This window comes from Homo sapiens, chromosome 6, assembly GCF_000001405.40.
Source record: "Homo sapiens chromosome 6, GRCh38.p14 Primary Assembly".
Classification (NCBI taxonomy): domain Eukaryota; kingdom Metazoa; phylum Chordata; class Mammalia; order Primates; family Hominidae; genus Homo; species Homo sapiens.
In genome coordinates, this window is record NC_000006.12 from 143,814,258 (window position 1) to 143,841,093 (window position 26,836).

The 26,836-nt window shown below is 40.0% G+C and overlaps 1 protein-coding gene across 8 annotated transcripts in view; it reads left to right on the forward strand.

The window, feature by feature from the left end:
• Window positions 1-16,928, forward strand: part of PHACTR2 (phosphatase and actin regulator 2) — a 294,308-nt gene extending 277,380 nt beyond the window's left edge. For all 8 annotated transcript variants that reach the window (NR_172204.1, NR_172205.1, NM_001394736.1 and 5 more), the window contains one exon: window positions 9,417-16,928. Coding sequence is in view for 6 of the 8 variants with exons in the window: in NM_001394736.1 (NP_001381665.1) it covers window positions 9,417-9,432 (16 nt within the window). In the remaining 2 variants the exon portion in view is untranslated. The remainder of the gene's footprint in view (window positions 1-9,416) is intronic.
• The last annotated feature ends 9,908 nt before the right edge of the window (window positions 16,929-26,836 follow it).

The window sequence follows — 26,836 nt, forward strand, 5'->3', positions numbered from 1 at the left end:
AGGCACAAGAATTGCTTGAACCTGGAAGGTGGAGGTTGAAGTAAGCTGAGATCGCCTGGGCAACAGAGTGAGAATCTGTCTCGAAAATAGTAATAATAATAAATCATAAGGAAGAGAAAACATATTTACTATTCATTAGGTGGAATTGGATAATCATAAAGGTCTTCATCCTCATCGTCTTCATGTTGAATAGGCTGAGGAGAAGGAGGGGGTTGGTCTTGCTGTTTCAGGGGTGGCAGAGGTGAAAGAACGTCCAATTATAAGTGGACTCATGCAGTTCAAACCCATGTTATTCAGAGGTCAACTGTATATACGTATGGACACATAGACATACACACTTTTTTTTTTTTTTTTTTTTTTTTTAAGACGGAGTCTCGCTCTGTCGCCCAGGCTGGAGTGCAGTGGCGCCATCTCTGCTCACTGCAAGCTCCGCCTCCTCGGTTCACGCCATTCTCCTGCCTCAGCCTCCCAAATAGCTGGGACTACAGGCGCCCACCACTACGCCTGGCTAATTTTTTGTATTTTTAGTAGAGACGGGGTTTCACCGTGTTAGCCAGGATGGTCCCAATCTGCTGACCTCGTGATCCGCCCGCCTCGGCCTCCCAAAGTGCTGGGATTACAGGCGTGAGCCACCGCCGCCGGCCCATATAAGTATTTTTTAAAGCAATGATCTCATTCTATACTTTCTTGAGGTGTTACTATCCTATGTGGGTTTACGGTTAAAGTAAACCACTCTTTTCAGCTTCTAGATATGCTTATCAAAATATGACATCACAGGAACTATACTTGAAACTGCAATGAAAATTAATAAGGGGTCCTCCACCGAGGAATGGAAAGGCTGCTTTTGTAGTGGCACTGCCTTTCATGGATACTCCATTTACTTGCTACCTGGACAGAAATTAAAAGAGTTGCAAAATGCTGCTTTAACTACTACCAGAGTTGAAAGCAAGGCTCAGTATTGGGAATGATAAGAGCCCAGCCAGTGTGTGGTCTAGCCTCTCAGGTAGAACAAGGAGCTGTAATTTAAGAGAGCCTCTTCCTTTGTTTAACATAAGTATATGTACAGGAGGATCCCCTGAGCCCCAGAGTTCCAGGCAGCAGTGAGCTATGATCCGGCCACTGCACTCCAGCCGTATGACAAAGCCAAACCCTGTCTCTTTAAAATAAATAAATAAATAAATAAAATTTAAAAATAATAAGTATAGGTGGCGTGACAATGAAACTCTTTTAAAGAAAAGGGGAATGAATTATTTAGGAGTTTTATATCTATCAAGTAGGGAAGTACAAGAAAGTAATATTTTACCTTTGTGAGTAATTATATATTTTATGTTATGTGAATAAATTTACAGGAAGGGCTGGGCGCAGTGGCTCATGCCTGTAATCCCAGCACTTTGGGAGGCCGAGGTAGGTGGATCACCTGAGGTCAGGGGTTCAAGACCAGCCTTGCCAACATGGTGAACCCTGTCTCTACTAAAAATACAAAAATTAGCCGGGCATGGTGGTGCATGCCTGTATTCCCAGCTACTCTGGAGGCTAAGGCAGGAGAATCACTTGAACCCGGGAGGTGGAGGCTGCAGTGAATCAAGATTGCACCACTGCACACTAGCCTAGGCAAAAGAGCAAGACTCTGTCTCAAGAAAAAAAAAAAAAAAAGAATTTATAGGAAGATGAATAATTTTTTAAAATTAAATTATAAAGGAACCGCCTTTATTGAAATCATTATCTTTATCTGAATTCCATAACTTAAAAATAGCTTTTCCCCCATTCCCTCCCTCTCAACAGTATGAAAATAAGAAAAAATGTATTGCAGTTTTAAAAGAAAGAAGAAAATATGTATGACTTTAGATTGGAGTCTCAGGAAAGTTCTGAAAAGAGGGTGGACAAAAGGCTTCAGTATCCTTAGGGCACAGTAAATCTATTTATTCCTCCACCAACTTGAAGCCTAAAGCCAAAACTGTCATGCTGTCACATAGACAAACTTCTCAAGACGTAAAGCTGAACTTCTCCTACCTTAAAATGAATGCAAACTACCGAGAAATAGCAAAATACCGAGAAATAACAAACTGAAGAGTATTTTGCATTTTCAGTACCTCTAACCACAGCGTTTTAGAGCTGAATTTGAAGATAAGCTGAGTAATTTAAACAGGATAAAAGTGTCATTTTCAGATTGGATAGAGCAGGAAAATATATGGCTTTTGTTTTCCTTCTGGTTGTTACTTTTTACCGAATCTGGGCAATCTATCTAAAGAGGGGTCATAGTTCTGACCTCTGGCTTTGTGAGCATATTATTGCACGCACGGTATCAATTGGTCACCTTCTTTTCCTAGCCAGCCCTTGAAGCTGTGTTGGTGGCCTGTGACCTTCCAATGCAATCTAGACTGTGGAACTCACTGTGTACTGCGATCCATGGGCAAATGGTGTGTGCAGGAAAAAAAAAAAAATCTTACACTGTCCTCAGTTATTTTTGAAAATTAAATACAGAATACTTTCCAGGATAATATTGGGCTTTCAAAGATTATCTCTTCTGGCTGGGTGCGGTGGCTCATGCCTGTAATCCCAGCACTTTGGGAGGCTGAGGCGGGAGGATCGCTTGAGGCCAGGAGTTCAAGACCAGCCTGGTCAACATGGCACAATGCTGTCTCTACAAAAAATACAAAAATTAGCCAAGTGTGGTGGCGAGTGCCTGTATTCCCAGCTACTTGGGAGGCTGAGGCAGGAGAATCTCTTGAATCCAGGAGGCAGGGTTTGCAGTGAGCCGAGATCATGCCACTGCACTCCAGACTGTGTGACAGAGTGAGACGGTGTCCCCCCCACCCCCCAAAAAAGAAGATTATCTCTTCTGGTCCATTGACTACTCCCTTTGTTATCCAACCCAAAATTTCATTTACCTTCTTCATCCCACAGACATTACCAATGGAGAGAGAAAACATCAGGTTTCCTTATCCTTGCCCCTTGAATTCAAGATTAGATGAACATCTGAAGATTAGGACACTGTGGAATGTTTGGTACGCAAAGCCCAGCAGATTTGGCGAGGGCTAAATAATTGCTAAGTTAGATGAGCTTTTAACTAATTTTTAGAAAAGCTGAACCTTAGAAAGATAGGCCTTTGGTAGCTCATGGTGTGAGGGTCCTGGAGGTACAATGCACTGTGTTGTCAGGGCTCCCTGGGTTGCTGCTCCCTTTCTGGAGTATGGACAATGCTGGTGTGCCCTGCTCAGAGGGAGATGCTGCTGCTAGTTTGGGGTATCACTGGATGGGCTCTTCAAGTCATTGTGAAAAGTTTAAGAATAGACTGTAGCAATCAAAGTGTGACCTGAGAGGGTGGAACAGGATTTTTCTCTGGTCAAAATTGATCAGAACTTGAATGGATAATGAAATTGTGGTATACATACACAATGGAATACTACTCAGCCACAAGAAAGAATGAAATTCTGTCATTTACACCAGCATGGATGAACCTGGAGGATATTATGTTATGTGAAATAAGGCAGGCACAGAAAGATAAACACCACACATTCTCACTTACACATAGAAGCTAAAAAGTTGATCTCATTGAAGTAGAGAGTAGACTAGTGGTTATTAGAAGATAAAGAGGGTAGGGGAAAGGAGATAGGGTGCAGTTGGTTAACAGATACAGCTAGATGGGTGGAATAAGTTCTAGTGTTCTATAGCACTGTAGGGGGACTATAGTTAATAATTTATTGCATATGTTCAAAAAGCTAGAAGAGAGAATTTTGAATGTTCCTGACACAAAGAAATGATAAATGTGTAGGATGATTGATTTGCTAGTTTGATCATTACACATTTTATGCCATCAAAATATCACTCTGTACCCCATAAATATGAACAATTATGTGTCAATTAAAAATATAATAAAATAATCAATAAAAAATTTAAATAAAATTTGATTAAAATGGACAGAGGTAGAAATTCAGATGATCACCTTTTCTATTCCATGCTACCCAGAGAACACCAGAAAATCACCCCTTCAAATAGAAGTACAGATGAAGACATGTTTTGATCTCATACTGAAATGTAGGTTAGGAAGACAGTCTGGAGCATAGCGCGTCCACTTACCAGCTGTCTCTCTCTGCCTTGGGCAAATGAGTTAGCATCCCCATGCCTCAGTTTCCACATCTGTACAAAGATGATATAGGAGTACTTTCATCGTAAGATTGTTTTGGGGATTAAATGAGGAAATAGATGCATAGCACTTGGACTTGTAAGCTCTGGTAAGTATTATATTAGGATTGTTATTATTATCTGTGTATTAGTCCATTCTCATGCTGTTATAAGGACATACCCGAGACTGGGTAATTTATAAAGGAAAGAGATTTAATTGACTCACAGTTCCATGTGGCTGGGGAGGTCTCAGGAAACCTGCAATCCTGGCAGAAGGCACCTCTTCACAGGGCAGCAGGAGAGAGAATGAGTGCCGAGTGCAGGGAGAAGCCCAATCAGATCTCGTGAGTACTCACTGTCACGAGAACAGCATGGGGGAAACCACTCGCCTGATTCAATTACCTCCCACCAGGTCCCTCCCACAACATGTGGGGATTATGAGATTACAATTCAAGGTGAGGTTTCGGAGGGAACACAGCCAAACCATATCAATTTGCCTTTCACATTGTATATAAAATATTTGATTTAAGAGGTTTTCAGTTACTCTTTGAAATATTTTTATAGAACTTCCATATTTTGCTTCAGGTTGTGGTTGACTCTTCCTAGAAAACATTTTGGAATGTCCTGTCAGGTGGGTTATTGTATATTAGTATACATTTACTTGTAATTAAGTTTAGGGGCTTCTGATTGGACTCCTCAGTCATATAGAATTATTTATAGAGCTAACAAATAACTTCCTAGATACCCCTGTGTATATGTGTTCAGTGACTTATGCATTCAACAAATAGTTATTGAGCACATCCCTAGTGAGCCAGATTGTGTTCTGGACCCTGAGAGTTTAGGACCTGTCTCATAAGGTCCTCAGGTGGTTATGTTCCAGTAGAGAAGCAAACTATTACCAAGTCAACAATAAATACACATGAGCATTTCAGATAGTGCTAAGGACTGTGAAGAAAAGGTAATAGGACAGGGGTGGGTATAGATCCGATGGCCAAGAAAGGGGTCTGTATCTGTCTGAGTTCTCCAGAGAAACAAAACCAATAAGATATATGTATATAGATATATGAGAGGGGATTTATTAGGGCAATTGGCTCACATGATAATGGATGCTGAGAAGTCCCAGAACAGGCTGTCGGCAACCTGGAGACCCTGAGATGCTGGTAGCCTGGCTCAGTCCAAGGCTGGAGGCCTGAGAGCTCGAGGCAGTGGGGAGTACTGGTGTAAGTTCTGGAGTACAAAGGGTGGGGAGCCTGGAGTTGTTGTTCAAGGACAAGAGAGGAAGAGCATGTATCCCAGCTCCAGTAGATAGATTGACATAGTCTCCTTTTCTCTGTTTTTGTCCTCTCTGGCTCTCTGGCAGATTGGCTGTGGCCACCGACACTGAGGGAAGATCTTCCCTACCTAGTCCACTCAGACTCACAAGCCAGTCCCTGAAAACACCCTCACAGACTGTATTAGGCCATTCTTGACTGCTATAAAGAAATACCTGAGACTAGGTAATTTATAAGAAAACAGGTTTAATTGGCTCACAGTTCTGCAGGCTGTACAGGAAGCATAGCAGCATCTGCTTCTGGGGAGGCCTCAGAAAGCCTCCAATCACGGCAGAAAGCGAAGGGGGAGCAGGCACATCACATGGCAAGAATGGGAGAAAGAGTGGAGGAGAAGTGCCCCACACTTTTAAACCAGACCTCGTGAGAAGTCACTCACCATCACAAAGACAGTACCAAGCCATAGGGATCCACCCCCAGGACCCAAACACCTCCCAGCCCCACCTCCAGCATTGGGGATTATATTCCAACATGAGATTTGGCAGGGACAAATATCCAAACTGTATCATTTTGACCCTGGCTGCTCCCAAATCTCATGTCCTTCTCACATTTCAAAATGCTTTCCCAAAAGTCCCCCAAAGTCTTAATTCATTCCAGCATTAACTCAAAAGTTCAAAATCTCATCTGAAAAAAGGCAAATCCTTTCCACCTATGATCCTGTAAAATAAAAAACAAGTAAGTTATTTCCAAGATATGGTGGAGATCTATACTGGGTAAACATTCCCGTTCCCAAAGGGAGAAATCAGACAAAAGAAGGTGGCTACAGGCCCCATGCAAGTTCAAAACCCAACAAGGCAGTTGTTAAATCATAAAGCTCCAAAATAATCTCCTCTGACTCCATGTCCCATGTCCTGGGTACTCTGGTGTAAGTGGGCAGCTCTACCCCTGTGGATTTGCAAGGTGCAGCCCCCAGGCTGATCTCACAGGCTGGCGTTGAATGTCTGTGGCTTTTCCAGGCACAGGGTGCAAGCTGCCAGTGGATCTACCATTCTGGGGTCTGGAGGACAGTGACTTCCTTTTCACAGTTCCACTAGGCAATGCCCCAGCAGAGACCCTTTGTGGAATCCCCAACTCCTCATTTCCCTTCCACACTGCCCTAGTAGAGGTTCTCTGTGGGGGCTGTGCCCTTCCAGTAGGCTTCTGCCTGGACACCCAGGCTTTTCCATGTATCCCCTGAAATCTAGGTGGAGTGTCTGAAGCTTCCATCACTTTTGCATTCTGTGCATCTGCAGGCTTAACATCATGTAGAAGCTGTCAAGGCTTTCAGCTTGCACCCTCTGAAGCAGAAGCCTGAGCTGTATCTGGGGCCCTTTGCGCCAAGGCTGGAGCCAAAGTGGCTGGGATGCAGGGAACAATGTCCTGAGGCTGCACGAGGCAGCAGGGCCCTTGACCTGGCCCTCGAAAAAGTGAAAGAGTGATGTTGCCTCTGTGTATCAAATGCAGGCATGGCGGTCCTCACATCTGCCCAAGGTTACAGTCAGGGATAGACTAAGAACAGAACTCAAAGTGGACACATTCCTGCTTTAGTAATAAATTGCCTACCAGTTTTGTAAAGCTTGGTATATCTTATTTTTCTTTTGACTTTTGTCAAACACAGAAGTAATATAAGTCCCTCGTATCCAACTAGCAGCTCCTCAGTTATCAATTCGTGGCCCATCTCATTTCACCTGCTCTTATTTTTTAGTTTTTCATTTTGTAATGCTTGTATTCAACACAGTGACGTTTAGTAAGTACTATCACGTGCCGGAGATTGTATTCAATGAGTATGTAAAAATGGATAAGAAAGTTTCCTTCCTCAGCTTCTCATGATCCAATAGCAAAGGCACATGTATCCAAAGATTATATAATGTAAGCAATAACTGGCATAAGCCAAAGGTTATGGGAACACAGGAAAGAGAGCAATTAGTGCTTCCCTGAGCAGTGGAGAAAAGAGTTTGGAGAACTCACAGAGTGAGACTGCATAAAGCGCAGATGGTAAGAGAGATAAAGGTAGAAGAAAGAGTAGGCCAGGTGTGGTGGATCAAACCTGTAATCGCAGCACGCTGGGAGGCCGAGGACAGATTGCTTGAGTGCAGGAGTTTGAGAACAGCCTGAGCAACATAGCAAAACCCCATTTCTACTAAAAATACAAATATTAGCTGGGCATGGTGGTGCATGCTTGTAGTTTCAGCTACTTGGATGCTGAGGTGGGAGAATCACCTGAGCCCAGGAGGTTGAAGCTGCAGTGAGCTGAGATCGCACCACTGCACTCCAGCCTGGGCAATAGGAGTGAAACCCTGTCCCCCTCTGGAGCTCCCCCCAACCCACCCTGCAAAAAGTAGGTAGAGGAAAGGGCATTAGCGCAAAAGCCTTTTTGGGGCAAGTGATTGAAATGGAGAGTATTTGGAAGCAGTGATAGAGATATAGCTAGAACCATGAGTTGGGCCACTTTCTGAAAAGCCTTACTTGCTACTCCAGGAACTTTAAATTTTATTTTGTTGGCTTTCTTATTTTAATTTTGTTAAGGGACAGGGTCTTACTATGTGCCCAGACTTGTCTTGAACTCCTGGACTCAAGGCTGTCCTCCCACCTCAACCTCCCAAGCAGCTGGGATTACAGGTGTATGCTACCATGCCCAGCTTAAATTTTATTTTGTAGGTAATGGGGAACAATACGATCCTTTTGAGAAAGAACTGGGTTGGGCGCAGTGGCTCGTACCTGTAATCACAGCACTGTGGAAGGCAAAGGTGGGCAAATCGCTTGAGACCAGGAGTTCAAGACCAGCCTAGGTAACATAGCGAGACCCCCATATCTAATTAAAAATAAAAAAAGATTTTAAAAACCCCAAGAACTGAAATGATGGAACCAGTATTTTTAAGGATAGTGTGAGCAACAGTGAGGAGCATAGATTTGATGGAGAGAGCCTGGGACAGGGAAACCAATTAGGAGACTGGCTGACCAGAGCAGATGAGCATTCGACTGTAGAAGACAGAGTGAAATGCTAGGCAGAGTTGCATAAATGTGGAATTGCAGAAGTAGGCTGAAGAGCTTGATCACTTAAGGCTTTATGGAGAAGATAACTTTTGACCTTGATCTTGAAAATGAAAACATAGATAGGAAATGAAGGGAAGGAATTGCAGTATTAGTGAACAGCATGTTCAAAAGCACCGGGCTACAAAAATGCAAGGAATGTTCAGGAACTCACAAGGAGGGAAAGGAAGCCAGCTGGCTGGCTAACAAGCATACCGTAAAAGTAGTGCCAGCAAAAGATGGAACTTTAATGATTCCAAGACAGGCAGTTGAGGCAGGACTTGGTGACTAATAGGAAATGCTGGATGAGGGAGAGAAATGAATTGCTAATCTGAGGTTTCTAGACCAAAAATATTTTTAAAGATAGAATATTAAATAAGACAAAGTGCAAAGGCAGGTTAACAAGGAAAGCTTTGTATAGTTGTGGACATGCTTAGTATATACCTGTGGAACATCTGGGGGGAAGCGCCCTGTGGGCTTTTGGAAATTCAAGTGTAGAAAGTAGATTTGGAGTCGTCAGCAGGAGATGATGAGAGGCTGAAGCTAATGAAAAAGTGTCTATTTGTTACTGTGCTTTTATAATACAGACGAGGTGTACCAAAATCCCTTTGTGAAACATCTCCCTCTGCTTGATAAAGGTTAGAGCACGATGCTCAAGAATAGTGATGTTTTCTGTCTTGGTTGCTGTGTAACTTGAATACTATAACCAGCATCTTTTATATAAGGTTTCCTTATATGCTTATATGTAAACATATATATAAGGAAAGCGTTTATATATGCTTTCCTTAATAATATTTGTAACAGTATTTTGTTATGACAGAAATTTGTAAACAGTAATTCAGTTGGGGGATATCTGGGGTACCTTTTCATTGTAAACATGACCACGCCTTATTCAGCTCACTGCATGCAGAATGTGCTCCTAGGCCACAGGCTTATAGTTTCTATTTCTTACTCCAGGTTTCATCGTCCATAACGAAGAGTGAGACTATTTGGAAACAGAGACTGATCATCTTTGGGGGAAGCCCTGCTTCCTGAAAACCTGATATTGCACTGGGATTTGAATGTGTGTGTTTCCGTTTAACTTGTGGTGAAGGAAGTGTGTGACTCAGCTTGGCTGGGAAGTGCTCCTCACCTGTGTGGCCCAGATGGCTCCAACAAGCAAAAGGAAGGATGCAGTGACTCTTGCTGCCCAGAATGCACAGCGATGGTAAGAGACACCGTGGATATTCTTCATCAGAAGCTTTAATCAAAGAAGATGAGCAGAAGACAATCACTGGCTCCCTGTTACCAGAAAGCCAAATTTTATAATGCGGGTGAAAGAAAAATATAGATTAAAATTGCTGGGCACTGAAAAGGGGTGGGAGTTGGAAATCAGAAAGAAAGAGAAATATTTCATTATGTTAATGAAGAAAAGAGAAAATTGAAGCATAAATGTATTTTTGAAGTAGTTATTCGGTAGCTGAGAACTTATTAAGGGATTTAGGAATTTAACCTCCTGATGTGGATTCCTCAAAGACTTGATCGGAGAATACTCTTGTTTCACCATTATGTTGGTACAGTATAGTACCATTATTTTATGTTGTGCCAGTGAATCCAGTTGCCAGAAATAAGTCTGAATGTTTTCATGCATCTTTTTCTTAAATGCAAGAGCTTCTACTGACTCTTAACAAGCATGCTTACCCAAATTTTGTTGCATGCTTTTAAGTAGCATTAGCTATGCACACTTGACATTTTTAAATATCCCTTTCCTAGTGTACCAGCCTTCACAGGATAAGAGGACTGGGAATAAAGTCAGATGTAATGTGACCCTAGAAAACTGTAGCAAGCTTCAGAAATAAATCTTTTGATCTTTCCCTATCTTGATTAGATCCAAAGTCAAAGCAACCATACTTCACCTAGAGAAGACAGTATTGGCAATCATGACACCTGTAATAAAAACTTGAATCCAAAGTCAAAACTTAAGCAAGATACAAATGTGCTGCCTGCAGTTAGTCCTGCATGGGAATAAGGACTAGTTATTTTTTTAGTGCTGCATTTTTTTAAAGTTGGATTGCTGCTATTTAAAAAAAAAAAAAGGACACAGATCAAAAAAACACCCAAAGGCTTAACAGAACATGGAAAGTTCCCACTAAGTTGTGTGTGAGGAAATCCTCATCTTGTATTTTAAGAATCTGCAGATGGCATCCATAGATACAGTACAGTATTTACTGTCAATGCAAAAGAATCAGTGAGGTTAAAGTAGTGGAAGTTTTCCCTATGAGCCTACAGTCTGTATTGTTTACATTAAGAAACTCTCTATTATTGTGTTGCTATTTTCCATGGAGTCACAGGCACACTATGACTTCTGCTCCCAAATACATATGACCATATGTAAATACCACCTTGCATTTCATTGTTCTTCACAAGTGCTTTGTGCCCCTTTAATTAAAAACACATGAAATGAATAACAAAACAAGACCCAAATAGAGTTTATTTTATTCTCAGAGTTTGGACTACAATTTTCTAAGATGTTTCTGGTTCAAGACTGTCATTTTCTATTTCAACCGAAAAGTAAGCATTTAACCCGGTGAATAAATGTAGATCCTGCCATTCATTGGTATTTTAAAGAACCACTTGAAATCGGATCATTTTATTTAAAAATAAAAAATGTTAATGCCAGTTGGCCTACTATAAAAAGCCAGGACCATGTTAGAATTAGGAAAAGTAACCAGCATTACTGCACCTCTTGTTAGACTCTGTGCATTAATAAAACACACCTAGAGTCTGTTGTCATTTCACTAATAGGATAAGACAAATTTTTTGCTTTGAAAAAATTTTTCTGCATGCCCAGGTGTCTGTCTCTGGCTGAGGTTTTGTCTATTTTACAGTGTTTCAATCCAGCCATAAAAATTAACTTGTGATTTTTTTTTTCCCAAAGTCATGCTTTTCCTTAATTATATTTTTATTTTATTATTTTAGTGTCTTGAGAAAAATACCAAGAGATATAATGTTTCTTTTAATTGTCTATGCTTAATCATCTTTAAACACTTTTTAAATTTCTAACCACAAGACCTCTCTATAATGGTAAATGTAAGACATCACCATTTTATCACTCAAAGTATGTTATTGAAAGTTTCTATTTGGTTGATAAAAGGAACAATTTTTTCCCACTTTTGATGCCTGTGATGCAATTTTTTATTGCCTACAATGAGATACACTTAGTACAAAAAATGAAAATCTGGTATTTCAAAATTGCATTTCTTGTATAATAGGTCAGATTTATTAACTACTCATACTTTTTCTTTACACTAATCGATACATTTAGAAAAAATTTTCTAAGTTAGAGACAAGTTTAAAAGTAAAAAAAAAAAAAAATTAGCCACTGCTAGTCTACTGTTTAGGTAATCGGAATCACCAATTATTTTATTAGAATGATGGCTTGAGTAAAAAGCTGTGGAAAGAATTAAAGGATTATGAGCTAAGCTGTATTTTGCAGAATATGGTTCTATTTTAGTAGAGCAGAGATGAGACATATCCCCACCGGCCACCCAGCCAGAGGTCTCCTACCTGGGGGCCCTAAAGGGATGCAGAGGTCTGGCCCACCCTCCGTGCATAGGCACCTCTGTCCACCACCAGCGTTTCAGCAATCCAACCAGTAAGCATATGCTGTATAGGAAAAATAAAAGTGTGTGGGAATTGGATTTCTTTTGTTGTAACACAATTCCAGGTTTTTGGCTATTTAAAGTTTGACATTAGGCTGACATCGAGGAAGTAAGTGGGTTTTCCTGAGTTCCCAAGATATGATTAAGGAAGAAAACAAACCCATCTCCAGGAAGATCCCAGGCAGGAAAGAACTAGACAGATGTAGAAACCAAAGTGACCATTTTAGTTTTTTTATTGGAGAATAAAACATTAATATTAGGGTATTAAGAAGATGCTCAGCAAGCTTGATCAGAATCTTCATGGTCATTACCAATCAGTCTGACAAAATAGTTCTCTGGTAGTCAGCATTCATTTAAGGCAGCTTGCCTGATAATTTCCTGTGTTATGTGAAGTGTCTTGCACTTTCACATGTTAGCTATAATTCCTTAAATTACTTAACTGAAATCTGTAATAGAGAACCATTTTGGCATTTGAACAGCTATTTTACATGGAGAAAAAGCAAACACATCTGTTTGCTTTACCCAGAAAAACTGACTTTCTGGTTTCATCTTCATATTGTTTAGTAGCATAATGAGAGTAGTCCTTTATCTTTCTCTAATGTTAGTAAATATATTCTGTTAGTAGGAAGTTCTGAAATTGAAGGGAAAATATATTTAAGGAAATAAAGGAATTCAATACACCCTTCAAAAGTCACCAAATACTGAAAATAAGAGATGAGTCCTTAAAACCTGAGTCAAAAAAGGTCCAGTTTTACAGCCTGCAATTAATTCAGGGCTGCGTTGGCATTAAAAAAGAAAATATATATATATATATATATATATATATATATATATATATATATGTATATTATATATACAGTAGCTTACACTTAAAAGAGGAAAAATTTGCATTAACATTGCATATTCTGATATGTACCATATTAACACATAACAGGCATTTTATTTATGCTTCATAGAATCAGACAGACACAACTTTCAAAAATCTTACTGTATTCACAATAGAAAAGGGTAGTCTTGTCTACCACAGAGGAGTATGTCCACACTTAATAATGAAAACTTTCTTCCTTTCCTGCCCAAAAATTTCTTCAGTCTGTTATTATTTTTAAGTGCCCCTTGCTGCAAATTTCAAACAGAGCAAGAAATCTTCCTCAGAGTAGGTGGTATGAAATTAAACTAGTACAATATATATGAATTCATGTCATTTACCCCTGAGTATGGTAGAATTGTTAAAGCATTCTTAAATTCCAATTATATGAAGCCTATCATTACTAGGAAAAGTATATTCTTTGGGATAAGAATTAATTTCTTCACACTATTAGAGCATGTTGTGAGTAGTAAGGAACTACTTAGATGCAATTTATTTACAGAATTGTCCCTTGACCTCTTGAAATGGCTAGATCTTTCACTACTGTGTAGGTAGTCTCTACTTACTGGTAGGATAGATTACATTGCTTTACTGGACAAAGCAGAATGAACTTATATAACTAAAATATGTCCTATATTGGCTGGGTGCGGTGGCTTACACCTGTAATACCAGCACTTTGGGAGGCCAAGGTGGGTGGATCAGTTGAGGTCAGGAGTTCGAGACCAGCCTGGCCAACATGGTGAAACCCTGTCTCTACTGAAAATACAAAAAAAAAAAAGTATCTGGGCATGGTGGCTTGTGCCTGTAATCCCAGCTACTTGGGAGGCTGAGGCAGGGAAATCGCTTAAACCCGGGAGGTGGAGGTTGCAGTGGGCCCAGATCGTGCCACTCCACTCCAGCCTGGGAGACAGAGCAAGACTCCATCTCAAAATAATAATAATAGTAATAATGAATAAAATAAAATAAAATATGTCCTCCAGGGAAAAGCAATGACAGAGTAATCACCAAATTAATAGGAACATCTTTCTAGAGAAAGTACATGCCCAGTTAGTTCAAACCCAGGTTTCAAAGAAGTAGCACTGGGCTCTACTGTAAAGGCAGGCAGTGACCAAGAGGTGGTGGGGAGAGAGGTAGAGTACCCTCAAATCATTCCCATTTTCACTTCCAATTTCCCTTTTGTAATCATTAAGCTTAAGCTATGTATGGAAATGCAAAGCACCATTAGCATTTCTAGAAAGCAGCTGGAACCTTACCCACCAATGCTTTTTTGAAGACAGTATCATCCCAAATTTAAAAATCCTATTGTATATGTTGTAAAATTTCTGGCAAAGAAATGGAGGATCCTGTGGCAGCTATTCCCACCTAAAGCCAACCCTATAAGGATGGGTCATTTTTTAGCCATGCTAGGATTTACTGCACACACAAAAAATGTCATTTAGCTTGTCACATTGCTAGCACAGCTGCACATATGAGCAAAGCACTGTTGGTCTGTGTTTCTCAGTGGGGGTACTCTTGGCATTTGGAGCTGGATAGGTCTTTGCTGTACAGAATCATCCCATGCATTGCCAGATGTTTAATATCCCAGGCCCCTGCTGACTAAATGTCAGTAGCATTCTCAGTCATTGTAAACACCAAGAATAAAAAGCATTCCCCCAGGTTCAAATGCCCTCCCTGGGAGGTTGGTATCACCTCCCCTGAATGCCACTGTCTACTGCATTTTGAGGACACAGGGAGAAAAAGTGCCTATCCTCAAACATTGTCTCTGCTGCCTTGCATTTCTTTGGGCCCTGAATGGTTTTTCTCCCTTCATTTTTCGAGCCTTTCTCTCAGTGCAGCTGTTCTTCAGGGAGGAGGTTACTGGGCAGCCTTGGCCATTCAGTGGGCATGGGGACTTGGCCTAGTCCCTATATATATATACTTAAAGTCCCTATATATACTTAAAGGAGAGATCATACATGAAGAAAGCTTTTTTTTTTTTTTTTTTTTTTGCCTTACAACTTTTCTTTAGAACCACATTATTGGTCATAATCCTTGTTACTGTCATGAGGATTGTTGCATGGGTTAAACACAAACACAGACTAGCAATGCACTTGAACAAACCTGGTGGTCTTTGGAAATAAATCACCATTAGATTTCACCTGGTTATGCTGCATCCCATAAGTTCCAAATGAATCACCTGCTTATCCTATTAACGAAGCATTTAATTCACACACAAATGCTTGAATTTCCCCTGTATAAATGTAGTCATGCGATTCAACTTTTCTAATAAGATTTGTGAATGCTGCATCATGATGAAAATGTGGATTAACTGTGGGTTGCATGCCTGTTGTTCATACTTCAGTGATGGTCACACACAAAACAAGATGAGTTTTACTTAGGTGAAACATTATTAAACTGTACTAACAATACAGAAACATATTCTCTTTGTCGCTTTTTATCACCAAAACTGAATGGCAAATATGTCTTGACATTACTTGGATGAACTGTGGCTAGCAAAATGGAATTAACTTAGCCACTATAATTTTTTAAAACATTAAAGTTTCTAAATTGTTTTTGGGGCCGAGTAACGCAGAGTCAATAAAGGTGGTTATATTGTAAGCTTTTAGATGGTGCTTAAGAATTCTTATCTTTTTAAATAGCAGTATTTTTTTTTTAAGAATAAATTGTAAGGAGCAAATAAGGCAGAATGCCACTCTACCCTCAGGTCAATTTTATGGTATATGAAAATGCCAGTAATATTTGTGCCACTTGCCAACTCGGGGGAGGAGGGGCTTTTCCCTTACTGGATACTTTTGTTATAGTTTGACTATGTCATTATGTTGTTTAGAGAGCCTCCACAATGAGAAGTTGCCACTGCAGGGCTAACTCGCCTTCAGAAATAATCAGAATGATTCAAGGGTCAAACCACTTTCATCCCTTAAAATATAGGGACTAATATTTCTTTTTCTTTTTTTTAAAAAAAACATTTCTTCTGTGGCTTAGAAATGTGCCAGTGTGTTCAAAACATTTACACCAATTTCACCAGATTTAGGACCTATTAAAAATTCAAACAAGTTTCTTTTTTTTTTTTTTTTTTCTGTGTAACAGGGATTTTTAAATAACGGACTATATGCATTCTTTTGTTATTTCACACTTCAGTTAAAGTGATAACAATGGTAAACTGTGATCATTATCAGACTGACTGAATGCTTTCTGATTTCCAGTGAGTGATCTAGTTCTACGTATTACACAGGTGTAATATCTGTGAGTGTAAATAACTGGAACTGTACACTGATTAACATGACAGTTTCTCTTTTGTTGTTCTTATCTGTACTGTATTATAGTATGTGGGTATAAATATCTACAAGTATACACACATATGTACTTGTATTCCACTATTGTAACCTGAAAGAAAGACTATGTATTCCCTTTTTTAATTCCGTACTGGTATTTGTGTTATTTAAAAAGCAAAATTCTGCTCTATTTAGTTGTATAATATTAGAGGATACTTTGCTGTGCACAATTCCAAGTGCCTTAGAACATTGTTTAGCTTTCCTAAGTATATATAAATGCATATATGTATAAAATTGGGAAAAGTTACCTCAATAAAATCATTGGGAAATCCCCAGTTTTAGTTTGTTCCAGTTTCTCTTATATTTGGATAGTGCTCAGCCTTTTTAAATGAAAAAAGAAAAAAGAGTAAGACAACTTCCCTAATTGCCTGTTATTTCAGCTTCACCTAAGTTTTTAACACCTCTTTGTATGTAAGGTCTTGAGACATGTAAGGCCTGGTACTTTTTATTTAAAATGTCTGTCTAAAGAATTACTGCTCTTAAAAGAAACTTCCAGTATTTTTTTTAACTTGCTATCTTTTTATGTCTGAGGTATTTGATATTGATGTTTTTATTGCCATTATTATATGTAAACATAAAAGATAGTCCATTTAGAGTTTATAATATAGAAAATAAACAGACTTCCTCATTATGCTTGCTATTTAATGTATTACAAGCAAGGAGTGAGGTTGGGAGCATATTTTGACCATGAAAAGAATTGGAATATACTTTTTGTGACTTTCAACATCAGTTACAAATAGTAACTTTACCTCCCCGCACTCCAGGACAAGGTCAAAGATGTAAGGGGAAACTTGAAAGCAACGTGCTTGCTGGTATCCTAGACAGAAGACCGGAGGATTGGAACCAAAAAATTAAAAAGTAGGTTTGAAAAATTTGTCCGAAGCATGCTATTGAAAACGAGAGGTACATCTTCAAGGCAGGCATAGTAGTTGTTGCAATTCTATTTCTTTCTCAGACAAAACCAAGTTCTACATAGAAACATTACTGTCTAAAACCCAATGGAGGTAAGAAATGGGCAATTTTTCATTTTACACAATGCTATGGTGACCTCTGATTTATTGTAATTTAACTATTCAATGAAAAAATAAAAATTAAAAAATTGAAACATAAATTTTAAAAGGCCAGGTGCAGTGGCTCATGACTGTAATTCCAGCACTTTGGGAGGCCAAGGCGGGAAGACTGCTTGAGCCCAAGAGTTTGAGACCAGCCTGGGCAACACAGTGAAACCCCATCTCTATAAAAAATAAAAATAGAAAAACAAATGAACTAGTCATGAGCCTCAATTCAAACTTCTGCATGGAGTTGCTGCTATGAGCACTGCTGCCCACAGACACCCAAGTCCTCACTTAGTTTGTGAATTTTAAACTCTTTGCTCTTTAAAGGGTGGTCTCTAATAGTGGAACACGTAAAATCTAGAGATAGGCTAAGAACCTAAAGTTCGTGTGAAGATTTTTTTGCTCTTTTGTTAAAAAGAGACACCATTTCTAAGGATTTGAATTAAAAAAAAAGCTGCAGATGTTAGCTTTTTGAAATTAGATGAATATCATAGGGAAGAGAGAAGTAGCATTTTCAGTGCTTGTCTACTCAATGATTTGATTTCGGATGGACTTTTTGACCTTGGTTGTCCCAGGTCAGACAAACTAGAGAAGCGGGTATTTAACATAAGGCAAGAATTTGCCTCTAATTTTTCAGGTAGCAGTATGCAGCAAACTGAGCTGCAAAATCTTTTCCCACAGTCAGTCCTTGTTTTTTTGTGTGTGGTTTTTTTGGTTTTTTGGTTTTTGTTTTTTTTTTTTTTTTTTTGGAGACAGGGTCTTGCTCTGTCACACAGGCTGGAGTACAGTGGCACAGTCATGGCTCACGGCATCCTGGAACTCCGGGGCTCAAGCCGTCCTCCTGCCTCAGCCTCCAAAATAGCTGGGACTACAGGCATGCTCCACCATGCCTGGCTAATTCTTTTTTTGTTGTTTTTTGTATTTTTTGTAGAGATGGGGCTCTCTTTGTTGTCCCAGCTAGTTTTGAACTCCTGGACTCAAGCAATCCTCCCACCTCAACCTCCCAAAGTACTGGGATCACTGGCATGAGCCACCGTGCCCAAATGGCATTAATCTTCCTAAAGCACACTCTTATCTAATTCCTGCTTAGAATTGTCCAGTACCTGCTGAATAACTCCCAGGTGCTTTAATCTAGCCCTCAAGAGCTGTAGTTACAGCCAGGCACAGTGGCTCGAGCCTGTAATACCAGCACTTTGGGAGGCCAAGGCCGGTGGATCCTTTGTGCCAAGGAGTTCAAGACCAGCCTGGCCAACATGGTGAAACCCTGTCTCTACCAAAAATACAAAAATTAGCCAGATGTGGTGGTGTGCACCTGTAGTCCCAGCTACTTAGGAGGCTGAGGCTCGAGAATTGCTTGAACCCGGGAGGCGGAGGTTACAGTAAGCTGAGACCTCCCCACTGCAAAGCGAGACCCTGTCTCAAAAAAAAAAAATCTATAGTCTAACCACATGCCACAGTTCCAGATTACACTCCTTTATTTCACACTTGGACCAAATCAAATGAAACTCATTGTTCCCCAAGTATGTGATGCACTCTTTGCAAATCACAACTTTGATTAAGCCATTCCCTCCAACTGGAGCTTTTTATGTGTTAATATCCAACTCATCCTTCTGGGAACAATGCAAATGTCTTCTCTAGCTATTCCATTATAGTTTCTTTAAAGTTTTTCTTGAAATAGCATATATAAATTCGGCAGATTTTATTTTCTGTATAATCATTTCAAATGCCCAAATGTGACTATAACAAGCATTTAACAACACTTTTAAATCTAATGCATTATATATGCAGTAAATCTACTTTTCTTAGATATTTCAGTATTATTTACAAATGTAGAAATGTTCTTATACTCTTTAATTTTACAAGTCTAAAATTAGTTACATAGTTTAAGTTGGAATTGCATGGCCAATAAGTCAGATTCTACAATATTCCAGTTTTTTTTAAATTGTAAGTGCTTTAATACCAAGTACATATAGATTATCTTAATAATTATAAAATATAATTAAATGTAACACAAAAGTATTATCTTGACTTTGATTTAATATCCATATTTAATTCCCGGGCTTGTAGAAACAGATACTAAGAAAACAGATTTTAAAACCTCAAGCAAACTGATTACTAGATTGACAATTCACTATTTGCTTAATGGGGAAAAAAAAATCCACGACTGATAAATGCGTCCTAAGCGTTACATACTTCTGGGAAGAATCTACTTCAACCACAGGGACATACTCGGAACCAGTTTTCAATCCTTATATCGTTAGAGGGTCTCCAAATTCACAGCCTTCAGAAATAATTGGTTTTGTTATACCTGATTCAAACTGCATCCTAAAAAGTTCTTTGATAGGTAGAAGGAAGTTTGGCTGGCACAGTGGTTCCTGCCTATAACCCCAGTGCTTTGTGAGGCCAAAGCAGGAGGATTGCCTGAGTCCAGAAGTTTGAGACCAGCCTGGGCAACATAGCAAGACCCTGACTCTACAAATAATTTAAAAAGTTAGCCAAGCCTGGTGGCGTACCTATAGTCCCAGCCACTTGGTAGGCTGAGGCAGGGAGATTGCTTGAACCTAGGCGGTCAAGGCTGCAGTGAGCTATGGTCACAACACTGCACTCTCGCCTGGGTGACAGAGTGAGACCCTTTCTCTAAAAGAAAAAAGAAAACAAGATGTAGAAAAGTAGAAGGAACTCTCAAGTTGCAGTTAATTTCCTTCAACAATCTTTCACTGGCCTACTTGAGACTTTGCATTTTTTCCATATTCTCTCTCTCCAACTAGACATAATTTATTTAAATGACATTTAATTTTTAAAAAGCTTTCTTATAGAGACAGAGGTCTCACTAGGTTACCCAGGCTGGTCTCAAACAACTAGCCTCAAGCAATCCTTCCTCTTCGGCCTTCCAAAATGTTGGGATTACAAGCATGAGCCACCACACCCAGCCATGGCATCTAATTAGATTGCACATTTATCCCATACCAATGTCTAATCTAGATTTTTTCCTGTGACCAGAACTCTATAGTTGTGCTCAGAATGGCACAATTAAGTATTAAAGCTGAGCCAAAGATAGAAGCTGTAATGAGACTAAAGAGATAAACGAAGACTAAATCTTGAGGGTCCTTTGAAACCTTGTCAAAGAATTTAGAACTTATCCTTGAGACAATAGAGATTCACCAAAGTATTTTAAGCTCAGGGGTAACATCATCAGATTTGCCCTAATCATCCTGGCCACAGTGGATTGGATTGAAGGAATGGATTAGATCGGAGGAAGCAATATTGGAAGCATGGTGGCCATTACTACTGCCATAATCTTGTTGGGAGGTGATGGTGGCCCCAAACAAGGTATTAACTATTGGAATGAAGAGACATAAACAGACTCAAAGGACAGTTATGAAGTGGAAATGATTGTTCCATATGGTAAATGGAGGAGATGGAAAAGTTAAGATTATACCTATCATGTGACTGGCTTGAGCGGATGGTGGTGATGCCACTTGCTGAAATAGAAAACAGCAGCGCTGAGGCTGATGTGAGGCTAGATTGGAGGGCAGGGAAGAGCAAGAGAGCATAGGAAGTACAGAAAGGGGAGGCATTCAAATTTGGAAATGCAATTCAATTTGTTTGAATTGCCTTCTGTTAGGACGTCCACATGTGGATAGATGTACAGTAGTCAGTTGGATATATGAGTCTGAAAGTCAGGAAAAAAGTCTGGGCTACAGATAGGAAGCTGAGAATCAGCAGCACGTGTAATGGAAGCTGTGGAAGTGGATAAACCTCTTCAACAGACAATGTAGCTTAAGACCATGAAGAAATTACTACAATAAAAATCTAATAAACTATTCTCTCATTGCCGGGTTTTGTCTCCAAGGCTGCAAAATCAAATCATTTATTCATCATCTAAGTGCTTAGGATGTTTGTCTTAATTTTAATGAGTTTTATGGGATAGCTTAACTTTAAATAAAATGGAATACTACATTATGTAGGGGGGTAAGTTGTAAAGCAAAAATTATATTTAAAAATGCCTTATATTGCTTGCACGTTGGTTCAATGTGCAAGCAAACAGATTCTCATGAAGTGAACCTGATTTGAAGCAAAGCTCGTGCCCCCTGACGCATCCTAGATACTGAAGGTCCTGTTTCAGGAAACGATCGTCCTGAAGTACAATGCAGTGAGGTGAATAACTACATTCAGCTGAGAAAACGACAGTAGCTCACGTTCATCAAATGCTTACTAGAAGCCAAGCACAGGTCCAAGTACTTCATACCCATCCTCTCATTTAATCCAACAACAACTCTGGAAGGTACGTATTAATATCATTCCCATTTTACATTCAGGTAAGTAAACTGAGGTCCATTTAGCCCGAGTTGCATAATACGAATGAAACAAATGCCAGAGACTACTTCCAGCTAGTATACAATGCATACTACTGTCATCAGTTAATATTGTAGGGGAAAATTTGTGCTTCGTGAGAAATGATGCATTGTAGAGACAAGCACACCTTTTGATTCTGATTTTATGAGGGTTCTGTGCCTCTCCTTATCTTTGAGCTATTTTACAACATTGTAAATTTCAGAAAGCTGACAGTCATGCAAAACAATTCTTGTCTCTAAACATCTACATAAATTCTGTCCAGTAGAGATTTCAACTCACTTCCCTCCCTCATCGTGGAAGAAGTAAGTTGTGTCTCCATTTGCACATTCTTCACAATATTCCTGCTCTATAAATGTTTCTGTTCTTTGGATTGTCCTTTGAACTAATTGTAACATCTTACTGGTTCCTTCATTAATCATGTGTAAAATAAGATCTTTAACATGTGCTCACTTTATATATGAGAGCCATGACATTAAATCCTGCTATAAGGATTTAATGGGTAAATGTATGTAAAGCACTTTGAACAGTGCGATTATTATTGAGCCTTCAATATGCTAGGCCCTGAAGAAGTCAAGTCAGCAAGACAAAGATCCTTGCTTTTGAGTAGGTGACTGAAGTCTAGTTCTAGAGACAGATGAAAATAAGAATTTACAACTTAGCATAACTGAGCAGGGTAGTGTGATCACAGGATACAGTGAGAACATTCGGGATGAGCCCCAGTTATGAAGAGCATTATCGTTCAACAATATTTATTGAACCAAATTATATTAGTGCCTCTTTCCTTTTATTTTTAAGTATTGCTACTTTATATATACATATAAAACCAAATGTAATACTTTAAGTCTTCACTCTAATCACATAAACATTGAAGAAATATCTCATATAGACACTGAAAGTTCCCTGCAATCCCATCCCAGCTCTTTGTGAATAATCGTTGTTGACAATTTGGTGCATAGTCTCCCAGATTTTTTTTACACTTGCACTATGATATTTCTTTTTTTTTTTTTTTTTTGAGACAGAGTCTTGCTCTGCTGCCCAGGCTGGAGCACGTTGGCGCAGTCTCGGCTCACTGCAAGCTCCGCCTCCCAGGTTCACACCATTCTTCTGCCTCAGCCTCCCAAGTAGCTGGGATTACAGGCGCCCGCCACCACGCCTGGCTAATTTTTTTGTGTTTTCAGTAGAGACGGGGTTTCACCATGTTAGCCAGGATGGTCTCGATCTCCTGACCTCGTGATCCACCCGCCTCGGCCTCCCAAAGTGCTGGGATTACAGGCGTGAGCCACCGTGCCTGGCTGCACTATGATATTTCTTTGTAACATATTTTTCTTTTTTCATACATTTTTAACAAAAAGAAGCCAGGCACAGTGATGTGCTTATAGTCCCAGCTACTTGGGAGGCTGAGGCAAGAGGATCAATTGAGGCCAGGAGCTTGAAACCAGCTTGGGCAACATAGCAAGACCCCATCTCAAAAACACAAAACTTGATCTAAATTAAACCAGCATCACAGTAGCTCGTTGTATGAATGGTTGGTTGGTTTGTTTGTTTGTTTTAATTAATCCTTTACTAACGAAATTTTTCTTTTTTTAAGATATAGAGTCTTGCTATGTTGCCTAGGCTGGACTCAAACTCCTGGGCACCACAACGGGCTCACTAATGAAATTTTAATTGTTTTATTTTTACCAGCAGCGTTACATTGAACATCCTGGTACATCCATTTTGCTGCACTTTTCCTTTTTATAAACTAAGTACCGGCTGGGTGCGGTGGCTCACACCTGTAATCACAGCACTTTGGGAAGCTGAGTTGGGGAGATCACTTGAGATCAGGAGTCTGAGACCAGCCTGGCCAATATGGTGACATCCCATCTTTACTAAAAATACAAAAATTAGCCAGGTGTGGTGGTGGACACTTGTAGTCCCAGCTACTTGAGGGACTGAGGCACAAAAATCGCTTGAGCCAGGGAGGCGGAGGTTGCAGTGAGCCGAGATCATGTAACTGCACTCCAGCCTGGGCAACAGAGCAAGATTCCATCTCAAAACACAAAAATAAAATAAGTACCTCCATAAGCTTTATTAGGATTTTCAAACATGTAATTTATAACTCCTAGAAGTTACTGCTTCAGGTTCTAATTAGTTTTCTCGGCACTTCTGTGTACATTGGCTTCCTGGTGCTTGGGACTCCTTGAGTGATGTTGACGGAAGAGGGAGAACCAGTGAATGTGATATGAATGCGAATAAAACCATAATTTCAATGGCTTAGTTCCATATAAAAAATTTTTAAAAACTTATTCAAAGCCTAGACTAAGCCAGAAATTCTGTTTAATCACTTTAACATGGACACCAGTAATTAGAGCATACTAAAAGAGTAGAAGTATTGCTTGAATTTATTATCATTACTATAATATTTCAATTATTTTTGCTTTCACTGGAGGCGAATAACATTTTTCTACATTAAGACAGCACTCGGAACAGTCTCTGACACATATAAGCTCATGTTATATGTTGGAGTATTTTGTAACAAGGTGGTTTTCTGAAACGGGGTGTACAGTACTGTAATGGTAGGGTGTGACTCCGAAGCTACAACTGAGTTCACATTCTGGCTTCCTCACTTATGGACTTTGTACCCTGGGGCAAAAGTCACTTAACTTTCTGTTCTGTAATCTCTGCTGAGTAGAAAAGGGTAATTGCATGTCTACTTAAATCTGCTATAAGGATTTAATGAGTAAATGTAGGTAAAATACTTGGAACAGTGCAATTATTATTGAGCCTTTACTATGCTAGGCCCTAAAGACGTTCAAGTCAGCAAGACAAGGATCCTTGCTTTTGAGTAGGTGACTGCAGTCTGGTTCTAGAGATAGATGAAAATAAGAATTCACAATTCAGCATAACTGAGTAGAGTAGTGTGTACAGGATACAGTGAGAACATTCGGAATGATCCCCAGTTTTGAAGAGTATGAAAATGTTTCCTAGAGGCAGAGATGGTGTAGGGTCCCTCAGAGCCCCCCACTTTCTTTCTGTGTCCTGACTAACATAGAGTGCCTCGACCACTCTGTGACCTGGCCAGCTGCATGGGTTTTTTTTTTCCCCCTGTAGGCTTAAAGTTAAGCCTGGGCCTTGAACATTCCCAGGCACTGATAAAGTTGTGTAGGCTATTGCTTCAAACACTGAAAGATCAAAATATGTTACTAAACACATAGAAACTAGCCCCAGCCCTAAGCCAAATTCCCTAAACCCTCACAAACTCCATAACCTGACTTCTCACTGCTGGCATACCTACGTAGAAACATCTCTTTTCGCCCTGTCCACTTAAGCACTCTGTATGTAACTTCTCTAATAAATGCTTTGGACTGATCACCCCAGCGTTTATTGCTTCTTTCTTTGGAATTCTGTCCAGCCCCATCTCGGGATGGTTTGGGGCAGTCCTTCACAGGAATTCCCCTCCTACCCCTTTTGGGTCAACTTAGCTTCAGCTAGACTTGGGTTCAGCCAGAAAAAACAGATGGCTAAACTAGGACTTGGCAAACAAGGAGAGGAGAGAAAGAAAGAGCCTTTTAGATGGGCAGGAGAGAGCCAATGTCTTTCAGGTACATTTGGGAACTGCACAGTTTCACAGGGCTGGATCATGAGTGGAATGTGGGGGAGTAAGGAGACATAGTGTTAAACTGATGGCTGGAGACCAGAAGATATAAAATCTTGGTTGCTCTGCAAAAATAGTTTATCCTGAAGCCCAAGGGTAGACATCAAGGGATTTTTTTTTTTTTTTGAGATGGGGTCTCGCTCTGTTGCCCAAGCTGGAGTGCAGTGGCATGGTCTTGACTCAGTGCACCCTCTGCCTCCTGGGTACGAGCAATTTTCCTGCCTCAAACTCCCAAGTAGTTGGAACTACAGGTGTGTGCCACCATGCCTGGCTAATTTTTGTATTTTTTAGTAGAGACAGGGTTTTGCTATGTTGGCCAGGCTGATCTTGAACTCCTGGCCTCAGGTGATCCGCCTGTCTTGGCCTCCCAAAGTGCTGGGATTACAGGTGTGTGCCACCACGCCTGGCCCATCGAAGGATTTTATACAGGAAAGTGACTTGAGTTTAAAATGATAAATTTGATAAAATGAATAACGAAGTGATACATGTGGATATTTAGAAAGCAGGATGAACAAAATTTGCTGGTTGACTGCCTCAGGGAGGTAGTATAGTATATGGATAAGGGAATGGCCTTCCTAAACAAGCCTGATGGACTACACTTCTAGGCTTTTCTACTTACTGTGTGACCTTAAGTAAATAACTTCAATTCTCTGAACCTCAGATTTCACATCTGCAAGATTGGTTTAGTGTCATTTAATTGTACTTCACTGGCTTGCTGAGGGAATTAGACATCATGAATAAAAAGTGCTTAGCACTGTGTGTTTAGTGTTTAGAATGACAAATATATAAAGTAAGCAGGCTGGCCACAGTGGCCTGTAATCCCAACACTTTGGAAGGCTGTGGTGAGAGGCTCACTTGAGTCCAGGCGTTCAAGACTAGTCTGGGCAACACAGTGAGACCCCTATCTCTACAAAAAATAAAAACATTAGCCGGGCATAGTGGCACACACCTGTGGTCCCAGCTACTCAGCAGGCTGAGGTTAGAGGATTGCTTGAGCCCAGGAGGTCAAGCTGCAGTGAGCCATGTTTACACCGCTGCACTCCAGCCTGGTTGACAGAGCAAGATCCTGTCTCAGAAAAAACAAAGCAGAATATTACTCAGAAGAAAAAAACAAACAAGCAACATGATTAGGTGGCCAGGCTCTAGTTAGGCTCCTTAGGTTTAAATCTCTGCTCTGCCATTTACTAGTGATATGACCTTAAGAAAGGGTATCAGTCCGTTCCCACACTGCTGATAAAGACATACCGGAGGCTGGGTAATTTACAAAGAAAAAGAGGCTTAATGGACTCAGAGTTCCAAGTGGTAAGGAGGCCTCACAATCATGGTGGAAGGCGAAAGGCATGTCTTACATGGCAGCAGGCAAAAGAGAATGAGAGCCAAGTGAAAGGGGAAACCTCTTACAAAACCATCAGACCTCATGAGACTTATTCACTTCCATGAGAACAGTATGGGGAAAACTGCCCCCATGATTCAATTATCTCCCACTGGGTCCCT